Raw genomic sequence first — 12,113 nt, forward strand, 5'->3', positions numbered from 1 at the left:
ATTCATCAGTTCATATTGCATGGGGGATGCAAAGATAAATAAGATGCAGCTTGTGTCCTGGGGAGTGCCCAGGTAGTGACAGATGGTGTATTTAAGTTGATGATTCCTGGGATAATTGGAGAACTATGGTCACAGGTGACCATCTTGAATAGGACAGGCTCTTCTCATGATGCCAAGTCCTTAATTCTCCCACGAGTCTGATTATTATTTACCTTTAGCAAGCCTGCTATTTTAGTTTCTTTTTTCCCTAAATACCCGAGACACATCCTACTAATGGCTGAATCAAGAAATAACTGAACGCTGTTTCCTGGGGACTGTCTGTTGAACATGTTGCTCAGAGCCGTTGAAGAATAGGGCCTGTCAACGAGACATTAGCTGGGGGCAGACACTCTAAATGAATCACTGTCAACTTGCACAACAACCTACCAGGTGGGGGATTGTCCCAGTTTTACACATAAGGGCACTGAGGATCAGGCAGGCTTGGTAACTTGTCTAAGGACACCAGCTCTGACAGGAATAGCTGTAGGTACCAGCTGGAGGAATTCCTGCTGTCTTGGGACTTTCAATGATCAAATACAACAAAACATTTACAGTCCATGTTTATTTAAGTAAATAACAAATTTTCTTCTCTAGTTTGTTGGAAACGGTGGTGAGTTGAGTAGTTGCCTCCAAACAGATACGTTTAAGTCCCAGCCCCTGGAACGTGTGAGTGTGAACCTTATTTGGAAAAAGTGTCTTGGTTGATAATAATATGACATCGTAGACTAGAAATTTGCTAAGAGAGTAGATTTCAGGTGCTGTCATCACAAAAAAATAAAGTAACCATGTGATGAGATGGATATGGTAACTTGTTTGACTGTCGTAATCCTTTCGCTATGTGTATTTTTATTTGAAAGAATGAACACTGTTTTACATGCCAAAAAAGAAAAAGGAAAAGTAAAAGGATCTTGGCAGATGCAATTAAGTTCAGATCTGGAGATGAGATCATTCTGGATTTAGGGTGAGCCCTAAGCCCAGTGGCAGGTGTCCTTATAAAAGAAAGGATCGGCCAGGTGCAGTGGCTCACGCCTGTAATCCCAGCACTTTGGGAGCCCAAGGCGGGTGGATCACGAGGTCAGGAGATGAAGACCATCCTGGCCAACATGGTGAAACCCCACCTCTACTAAAAACACACACAAAAAAATTAGCTGGACTTGGTGGCGCATGCCTGTAATCCCAGCTACTCAGGAGGCTGAGGCAGGAAAACAGCTTGAACCAGGGGGTCAGAGGTTACAGTGACCTAAGATTGTGCCAGTGTACTCCAGCCTGGCAACAGAGTGAGACTCCATCTCAAGAAAAGAAAAAAAAAAAAGCTCAAAATTCTTGTAGGCTCTAGCCATTCCTGTGACTTACGGCAGAACACCCGTTTGGAGTTGCTTCCTCTCTAAACATGTTTTTTTCCTCTATGCAGTCCCATTTTAAGTGAGCACCTGTTTTGGAGGCCTTGTAGTTACCAGCTGGAGGAATTCCTTCTGTATTGATTTTTTGTCTCCTTGTTTCCAGGGAGTCCCATGCTGGCATTGTTTAGAGGTACCTGGAATAGTATTCACCTGGGATCAGCTCCCATCTGCTCTCCATCTGTCTCCTGGTAGGGTCACTCAAGTTCTCTTAGATTTTTTCTCCCTTTGTTCTCTTCTCCTTTTCTTCTCTTCCTTCTTTCATTCCTCCCTTCTCCCTCCTGTCACTTTCTGTCCTCCCAAAGACTTGGTGCTGAATCTTAAGGGGCTTCAGAAATTAAAAGCACCTAAGAAGTGAAATTCTAAGGAATACCTTAATACGGGCTTCCAGAATGGTTGGTAGGGGACTGTAGCACAATTTACTGTCTACTGTTGCATTTGAACTTGGGAACGAAATAGCTGTCATGTGAATATCTCAAGCTGTCAGACTACTGGACCTCAGAGGTTAGAAGCTGGACCCCAAAAAAGATGTTGATTTCAGATGCGCACCCTCCCCTCCAACCAGCAGGAAGCATTTTCCGACATGGCTGGCTTTCGGCTGCCTTGTCAAATGGTGGCTGACATCTGATCTGTGCTAGACAAGCTTTTTGACAGAGGCAATTATATCCTTTGCTTATGATGCTGCTTAAAATGTTACCCATTTTTACTACCTGGCAGACATGGAATTCTACCCAGTCTGTAGGCTTTGATGGTGGTATTTTCATTTATTTTCTCCTTTTTTTAAATGACAGGTTAGTGATTGGCTTGAAGGGAGTGCCATAACCACTTAGAAAAAACACCGATGCTGTTTTCTGGATTTCTTAGTAGCTAATAAGAAGCCTAGTAGTTGATGTGACTGCTCCTCAGAGGGGGTGACCTAAGTGGACTCCCATTTTGATATAAACACTCTTTTTTTTCCTTAAAAAATCAATTTCATAGGCTGGACTTGAGTGACTGGGTAGGGGAGTTCTGGACTGAGGGATCTCCTAAGACTAATTCTCCATGCTAGGTAGACATGGGTTTTGCTTCTGCTGTGTTTGCAGATAATTGGCGGCTGGAATGAAGTCCAGGTCCTCATATCGTCCTTAGAACAGCTGGTTTTCTTTGAACTTAAGAACAAACATTGATTTCTTTTGGAAACAAAGGATCTTGTTCTTAATCTACCATAAGCAGCCAAACAACACTTGTCTGAAGGGCTTTTGTGTCAAACTCTCAGCAAACAGCATTTCCCCATGGCAGCGTTTTTATGGGGCTTGCTCTGTAAGGCAGCCTAAGCCACCCTTGATTGGAAAAGCAGAGACCACAATTTCAAAGAGCAAGTGATTTTCATCCAACCTAAAAGAAGCTTAGGCTTTAAAGTGGAGAAAGGCAGTGTACCTTCCCATAGTGCTTAAAGCAGGGATATTCTGAAAAGAGAATTTGTCTCTCAGAGCGTAATCCCGATTTTTTATTGAGTACTGATTCAACTTCCAGAGAGAGGATAGATATGAGAGAAAAATAGAAAAAACAAATTATTAATGCTAAGTCGAGGTATTAAGAAACTTCTTTCCTGTGAAAATGGTGGGAATAAATAAAGCAATACTCTCATCCAGGTGTCAGCGAATGACAGCATGTGGACCAAGTCCAGTGGCTGCTAGCTTTTGTAGGTAGAGTTTTACGGGAACACAGAGATGCCTGTTCATTTCCATGTTGTCTATGGCCTCTTTCACTTTACAATGGCCATGTTGAGGAGTTGTAGAAGAGAAACATGGCCCACAAAACTGAAAATATTTATTATCTGGCCCTTTACAGAGAAAATTTACTAACCTTGCAGTCGCCCATGCTCCAAACAGATAGTATTAAAAAGCTTTACTAAAGCAAGACCAGTGCACTCAAATTGTGCACATGAATGTTTCAATTTTAAACATTTTAAAACTCTATTACAGTATAAAAAGGGGCAGTTGTTGCTTGTGGAATACATTTTTTAAATGACGGAGAAAGCCTAAAAGGTATGCCTGGCTGATGAAGATTCAACAGATGATTCTTGAGTTCTTTCCGTTAGGTATGTACCAGGATGAGCCCTTGGGGAGAGTACAGGGTGATCAGACATGGCCCACGTTTTCCTCCAGGATGAAGGCAAACACTAAGTTGTTGAACACCACACTCTGGGATTGGGGAGCTGAGAATTCCAATCAGGGGACAGGGAAAGCCTCCAGGGAGGAAAAGCCCTTTATCTTGTAGTTTCCCATAAATGAGTACATACAAGTTACATGTTTTGAGATGTTTACTATTCTTTAGCTGCATGTAGAATTCTAGGAGGAAAATCATTTCCATGCAGGATTCCAGTTCACACTGTGCTTGAGAAGTCTGACTGCATTCCTTTCCTTTGCTTTGTTTTTCTTTCTTTCTTTGGAACCTTTTATGGTCCTTTCTCTGTGTCTCACCATCTAAAGTCCACAATGATGTACCTTACCGGGATTTGTTTTTGGTATTTATCGTTCTGCTAACTCTGTAGGTCTTTTTAATCTGGAACTTCATGTGCCTCACCTTTGTATTCCCCGTTTCTTCTCCTTGGAACTGTATTAGGCAGATGTTGAGTCTCCTGGACTGATCTTATCTTTTTAGTATCTCTTCTTTCCTACTGTCTAGCTCTTTGTCTTTTTTGTTCATCCATCAGGGAGACTTTAAAATTTTTATCTACTAAAGCTTCTATAGAATTTTTATTATGATTTTTATATTTTTAATTTCCAAGAGCTCTTTCTTGAACTCTGATTAGAAAAATCATTAACATCCTTTTTTTGTCTTTTCATGGATACATCATCTCTTACCCCGCTTTGTTTGCCGGTTTCATGTGTGCCCTGCCTTCCCTTTATTTGTGTGTTTTTGTATCTAGCTTTCCTTAAATATCTGGTACCTTTGCTGTGTGTTGTGATTTAAGGTTGAGTCATAAAGCTAATTGGGCAGGGCTTGTTAATTGGGCTTCACTGAGGGTGACTGGTGTGAGCTGGGTTTTCATTGGTTGACCTCCAGTGTTAGCTAGCGTCTGGCCTTTACTTTGAGGCTGTTTGATTCCCTAGAGGAGGCTCTTCATACTCCTGCCTGGTGTATGTGAACCTGGCATTCTGGAAGCTGTGCAGAAGGGCGTAGGTGCTCACAGGTCAGTTCTTAGTCTTTCACATCATCTCCCTATTTTCCATCTGTTTGTTCAGGCATGCCCTCTACTCATCTGTTTTTCCAAAACCAGAGCCTCAGATAGTTAAAACTTCTGTCTTCCTCAAAAGTTGGAAAGGGGATGGTTTCCTGGCTTTGAAGGAGGGGTGGAAACCTGGAGAGTTTAGCTTCTCTTTATCGGCACTTTCCACCTATTTGCCTGTTTCTAGCCCCATAGTTCACCCCCTGCCTTCTGCAGTACCTGGTGCCTTTAGTTTCAAAGCTCTGCAGGGCCCTGCCTGGTGAATGGGCTGCCTCTCATCAGCACCACCCTCTGCAGGTGTGTAGATTGAGCTGTCTTCAGCTCTGCAAGTCAGTATCTACTTTGCCACCTGCTTCCCATCTTCATAGAGTGATGTGGTGTTCAGGTGCTCCGAGATGGAATGTGTGTTCTTGTTTGTATTAGTGAGGGCTCTCTGGAGAAACAAAACCAGTAGGATGTCTGTCTGTCTGTCTACCTATCTGTCTATTTGTCTGTCTACCTATCTATCAATCAATCATCAGTCATGTATCTATCTTAGCAATCAATCAATTGATTGATTTATTTTAGGGAATTGGTTCATGAAATTGTAGTGGCTGGCAAGTCTGAAATCTATAGGGCAGGGTGGCAGGCTGGAAATTCAGGTAAGAATTGATGTTACATTGTTGACCCCCCAAATATGCGGACCAGCAGGCTGGAACTCAGATAGGATTTCTACGCTGCAGTCTTGACGTAGAACTCCTTCTTATCTGGGAAACCTCAATCTTTACTCTTAAGGCCTTCAACTGATTGGATGAGGCCCCTCACATTATATAAAGGGTAATAAATAATACCCTCCATAATTTCTTACTTAAACTCAATTGATTGCAAACGTTCCTCACTGCTAAAAATACCTTTACGGTAACATCTAGGCTGGTGTGTGTTTGACTGAACAACTGGCCACCATAGTCTAGCCAAGTTGACACATAAGGTTACCGATCACACTGTTTTTCCTTTCTTCCTGCATCATTTTAAAGTCACAAATACCATCATGATGGTCTAATGCATTCGTTGTAGAGGAATCATTTTTTAGAGAGTTCTTGCTTTGCCTCAGTGTTATTACTGTTGATAGCAGAGTCCTTGAGGGTGGAGGATACAGACTATAGGGTCTTTTACCAGCTGCGTGTCTGGGAGTTTGCTTTTGCTGAAGGAATCTAAGTAGGTTTTAACTATGAATTGAGAAATTATCACATGATAGCATGCATCTATGCCAGGTTTAATGCCATCGAGCATGAATATTCATTATTATAAACCAGCTGGTTCTTAGAGTGGTTGGGCAGGCCTTTGCATAAAGAAAGAGGAAACAGGAAAGTAGAGGAAATTGCAAGATTTGTTTGTTTTGCTTCATTTAATGGAATGAAATTGCTGTCAAGGGGTTTTGCTGGTAGATGGGAAATTTGAAAAATACCACTCTCCGTTTTTTTTTTTTTTTTTTTTTTTGAGGCGGAGTCTCACTCTGTCGCCCAGGCTGGAGTGCAGCGGCGCGATCTCGGCTCACTGCAAGCTCCGCCTGCCGGGTTCACGCCATTCTCCTGCCTCCGCCTCCCAAGTAGCTGGGACTACAGGCGCCTGCCACCATGCTCGGCTAATTTTTTGTATTTTTAGTAGAGACGGGGTTTCACCGTGTTAGCCAGGATGGTCTCCATCTCCTGACCTCGTGATCCGTCCGCCTCGGCCTCCCAAAGTGCTGGGATTACAGACGTGAGCCACCACGCCCGGCCGCCACTCTCCTTTCTTTTAAGAATTGTATAAAATGGCATGGGCTGCTTAGGTCATTTGTTCCAACAGGACACATTGGTGGCCATGTGTCTGAGGTCACCTCAACTTGTATGGTTTCTCTTATAACTTACAAATGAAAGCTCCCAGATTCACTGATATGTCAAGGGGTATCAGCGAACTTGGCAAGATCCCCTCATGGTTTTTTCCCTGAATTTTTATAACCCTACATCTCAAGCTTCCAAGACAATTGCGGAGGTTCTGGGAAGTAACAACAGTTGTTTTGCCAAATAAAGGAAGACTCCCCCTAGATCCTGGGAGGCTTGCTTTGGGCATGCCAAGTCCCTGGAGGGAATGGTTGTTTAAAGCTGAATCAGACCTCTTTGGAGGGCAATGTTTCTCAACTTGTTGTTTTTTTGTTTTGTTTTGTTTTTTTATCACTCCCTCCTCCCCATGGAGCCTTTTTAGATTTTTAAAAAATAATTCCCCACCATAAAATGTTAATGCTGCAGATATATTGTATATCTGTTTATGTCTTAAAAATATAAGCATCTAGGTTCACAGTCATGTTAAGGGACATCAGCATACTAGGCAAGAGCCCCTCATGTTTTTTTTTTTTCCCTAATGATTTTTTCCCTAAATAACTGTCATTTCTAAGATTTTAAGATCTCCCCAGGAACCAATTACCAATTTTCATCTCCTCAGGGGGCATATGAGAATGCATGTTCTAGGGCAGTGGTTCTCCACTGGGCAGTTTTGCACCCCCCAGGGGACATTTAGCAATGTCTGGAGACATTTTTGGTTGTCACAAGTGTGCGTGTGTGTGTGTGTGTGCGTGCATGTGTAACAGGGGGTGCTATTGGCATCTCGAGAACAGAGGTCAAGGATGCTGCTGAATATCCTGCAGGGCACAGGACAGCCCCTGTGGCAAAGAATTATCTGGCCTCAAATGTGAATAGTGTCCAGGCTGAGGAAGCCTGTTCTAGGGTAATTAGGCAAATATATGGAAGAAATTGATCACTGTGTTAAATTCGTCCACTCTCCAAGTTCCTGGTCTGAATAAGTAGAATATTTTTAGCAATGGATACTGTTTAATTAATTCAAAATACTCTTTCTCAAAGAAATAGCTCACTATTTGATTTCTATGAAAAAAAGATCAGAGTCAGATTAAAGGTTATAATGAAAACCCAGTGCAAAGCCAGAAATAGTGGCTCATGTCTGTAATCTCAGTGCCATGGGAGGCTGAGGTAGGAGGACCACTTTAGGCCAGGAGTTCGAGACCAGCCTTGACAACATAGTAAGACCATGTCTCTAGAAAATATTTTTTTGGTATGCAGCAGAGCAGCTCCTTCGCTGAGATCTATTGAAAGCCCTCAACACAAGGGTTTGTAAAAAAGAAAAAACAAAAAATAATAAAAGAAACAAAAAAATGTTTTAAAAAGAAGCCAGGGATTGTGGCACACACCTGTAACCCTAGCTATTAGGAGGTGGGTAGATCACATGAACCTGTGAGTTTGAGGCTCAAGTGAGCTATGATTCCATCTCTGCACTCCAGCCTGGGCAACAGACCAAGACCTGTCTCAAACAAACAAACAAAAATCCAATGCCTCTTTCTTTCAACTTTTTATTATACAACATTTCAGGCATATGAAAGACAGCAATGTCTAGTGAATCCTCATCCCCCGCGGGTACAGCATTCTGCCCTTCTTGTATCCTGTCCTTCTCTACCCATTTCTCACCACCATTCAATGATGATGATTCTTAAAGTTATTTTAGCATTTTAAGGTAAAATTAGCATCAAAATGCATAAATCATAACCATTCAGTTTTTACAAATGGACATACTGTATAACCCATATTCCTATCACAATACAGAATATTTCCATAACACCGAAATCTCTCTTATGTCCATGTCCAGTCAATCTTCATCCCCATGAGGCAGCCACTGTTCAGGGTTTTTTTTTGTTTGTTTTTTGTTTTTTTGTCTTTTTTAAACTTTAGATTAGTTTTGCCTATTTTAGAACTTCTTAGAAATGGAGTCATATAGTATGTGCTCTTTTATGTCTGACAGCTTTGGCTCAGTATGTCTTGAAATCCATATATGTTAAGTATCAGTAACGTATTCTTTTTTATTGTTGAAATGTATTTCACTATAATGAGTATCACACACGTTCTTTATCCGTCTTATCTTTGCTAAACATTTAGGTTGTTCTAGTTTGTTCAGTTGTGAATAAAGCTGCCCTGAACATTTGTGTGCAATTGTTTAGTGGACATATGTTGTCACTTATCTTGGCTAAGTATCTATGAGTGGCATTGCTTGGTTAAAAGTGAGGTCTGTGTTTAACATTGGAAGAAACCATCCAGCCTTTTTACTAAATGCTTGTGTCAGTTGGCATTCTCATGGGCAATCTATGAAAATTCCAGTACTCCATGTCCTCACCGACATTTGGTGTCATCACTCTTTTCAATTTTAGTCATTTTGGTGGGTGCATAGTGGTATCTCTGTAGTTGTAATTTGCATTTCCCTGATGACTAATGTTGCTGTGCACCTTGTCATTTGCATACAGGCTGTTCACTTATCTTACTACATTAATTGGTGGAGTTTCTCCATATCCTGTTTGCAAGCCTTCTGTCAGATAATTTTTCATGCCTATTTTCTTCTATCAATAGAAGAAAGAATAGAAGAAAGAAAGAAGAAGAAATGTATGCCTGTCATTTTCTTTTTTTTTTTTTTTTTTTTGAGACGGAGTCTTGCTTTGTCACCAGGCTGAAGTGCAGTGGCACCATCTCGGCTCGCTGCAACCTCTGGCTCACTACAATCTCCACCTCCTGGGTTCAAGTGATTCTTCTGCCTCAGCCTCCCAAGTAGCTGGGACTACAGGCACGTGCCACCACGCCCAGCTAATTTTTGTATTTTTAGTAGAGACGGGGATTCACCGTGTTGGCCAGGATAGTCTCGATCTCTTGACCTCATGATCCGACCGCCTCAGCCTCCTAAAGTGCTGGGATTACAGACGTGAGCCACCGTGCCTGGCAGCCTTTTATTTTCTTAATGATGTCTTTTGATGAGCAGCATCTTTTAATTTTGATTAAATCTAATTTACTACTTTCTTCTTTTATGGCTATTGCACTCTGTGTCCTAAGAAACCTTTTCCTGCCCTCAAGTTACAAATCTGTCTCCATATGTTTTCTTTAAAACATTATGGCTTTTATATTTAGGCTTTTCTCTAATTTTTGTTTATAGTATGAGGTAGAGTTTGAAGTTCATTTTTTTCATATCAGTATTCATGTATTCAGCACCATTTGTTGAGATGACTTTCCTTTCACTATCAAATTACTTTGGTGCCTTTGCAAAAATTAATAGACTGTATAAATTTGGATCTACTTCTGTACTCTGCATACAATTCATTAATCTGTGTTCCTATCCTTAATCAAGAACCACAGTACATATATATATATGTACACACACTACACATATATATGTGTGTACACACACTACACACACTACACACACACACACACACACACATATATATATATATACACACATACATATTTTATACTTTTAAGTTCTGGGATACATGTGCAGAACATGCAGTTTTGTTACATAGGTATACATGTGCCATGGTGGTTTGCTGCACCCATCAACCCATCGTCTACATTAGGTATTTCTCCTAATGCTATCCCTCCCCTAGCCCCTACGCCCCCAACAGGCCCTGGTGTGTGATGTTCCCCTCCCTGTGTCCATGTGTTCTCATTGTTCAACTCCCACTTATGAGTGGGAACATGCGGTGTTTGGTTTTCTGTTCCTGTGTTAGTTTACTAAGAATGATGGTTTCCAGCTTCATCCATGTCCCTGCAAAGGACATGAACTCATCTTTTTTTGTGGCTGCATAGTATTCCATGGTGTATATGTACCACATTTTGTTTATCCATTCTATCATTGATGGGCATTTGGGTTGGTTCCAAGTCTTTGCTATTGTGAATAGTGCTGCAATAAACATATGGAACCACACTATATTGATTAGTATAGCATTATATTAGATCTTGACATCAGACAAGATCTTTATTTAAATAAATTCATTTGAAATAAATTTCACATATGATTCAATTCACCCATTTAAAATGGTTTATGGTATATGTTTTTAGTATATTGTCTATTGTATATTCACAGCATTTGCACAATCACCACAATCTAATTTCACATTTTTGTCTCTCATAAAATAAAACCTGAATCCATTAGCTCTCTCCCTCCACCTCTCCCCACCCTTCTCTATCCCCAGACCTAAACAAACATTGATTTACTTACTGTCTCTATAATTTGCCTATTCTGGACATTTCATATAAATGAAATAATACAATATATAGTCATTCGTGACTGATTTCTTTCACTTGGCATAATGTTTTCAAGATTCATGATGTAGCATATATTAGTACTTTATTTTTTATTGCTCAGTAATCTTTTATTATGTGGATATAGGTCACATTTTATTTATCCATGAATCTAAGTCATTTGATGGACATTTGGGTTGTTTCCAGCTTTTGGATATTATGAATAGTGCTGCCATAAAAATAGTATACAAGTTTTTGTGTGGATATATGTTTTCTTTTGGGTATATATTAGATAGGTGCGAAAGTAATTGTGGTTTTTGCCACTGAAGGTAATAACAACTAAGAATGGAATTGATGGGCATATGGTAACTCTGGGTATAAATTTGAGGAACTGCCAACCTGCTCCATTACAACTGCCCATTTTATATTCTGACCAACAGACTGACATCTGATATTTCCACAACCTTGACATCATTTGTTATATTCCATCTTTTTTATTATAGCCATGCTAATTGGTGTGAAATGGTATCTGATTATGATTTTGATTTATGTTTCCCTAATGACTAATGAGGTTGAATACCTTTTCATTTGCTTATTGGCCGTTTGTATATCTTATCTGCAAAATTTTCTATGCAAATCCTTTGCCCATTTTTAAATCCGGTTTTGTGTCTTTTTATCATTGAAGTTTAAGTGTGGTTTTACATATTGTAGATACAAGACCATTCTCAAATATATGACTTGCAAATATCTTCTCCTATTCTGTGGGTTGTATTTTTACTCTCATGATAGTATTGTTTACAGCAAAAAGCTTTACATTTTGATGTAGTCAAATTTATCTATTTTTCCCCTTTGTTATCTGTGCTTTTGTCATAATATCTAAGAAACAATTTCCTAACCCAAGGTCACATTTTTCCTATATAGCTCTCTTGCCTCCTCCCTATTTTCATGCTGTTATTACTGTACATATTGTATCTTTATATATTACAAACCCAATAATATGTTGTTACAATTATTATTTAACTTTATGTCTTTTAAAGAAGCTGAGGGAAAAAGGGAGAGCAAATATATATTCCTAGAATTTGTTATATTTACCTTCTTACCATATTTGGTTCTTTTCATTTGTTCCTGTGGATTCGAGTTACCATCTGGTTTCATTTCCTTAGTCCAATCCGACTTTGCTCCCACCCAGTTCTTTTGTGCTGCTATTAGCAAATATATTATCTTTCCATATGTTGTAGGAACAACAATGCAATTACATATGTATCATTCTTTATTACTGCTTTTTAAATCAGTTAAGAAAGGAGAAGAAAGATGCATTTATACTGTCTTTTATAATTACATAATTAACTTTATTGGTGTTCTTTGTTTTTTGTGTACGATTTC

At 39.8% G+C, this 12,113-nt stretch overlaps 1 protein-coding gene across 15 annotated transcripts in view; it reads left to right on the forward strand.

Annotated features, from left to right (window-relative positions):
• The window catches only part of PLPP4 (phospholipid phosphatase 4), a 135,112-nt gene that overhangs the window by 65,016 nt on the left and 57,983 nt on the right, over positions 1 to 12,113 (forward strand). The gene's annotated exons all lie outside the window — the stretch shown is intronic.

Source organism: Homo sapiens, chromosome 10 (genome assembly GCF_000001405.40).
Source record: "Homo sapiens chromosome 10, GRCh38.p14 Primary Assembly".
Lineage (NCBI taxonomy): Eukaryota > Metazoa > Chordata > Mammalia > Primates > Hominidae > Homo > Homo sapiens.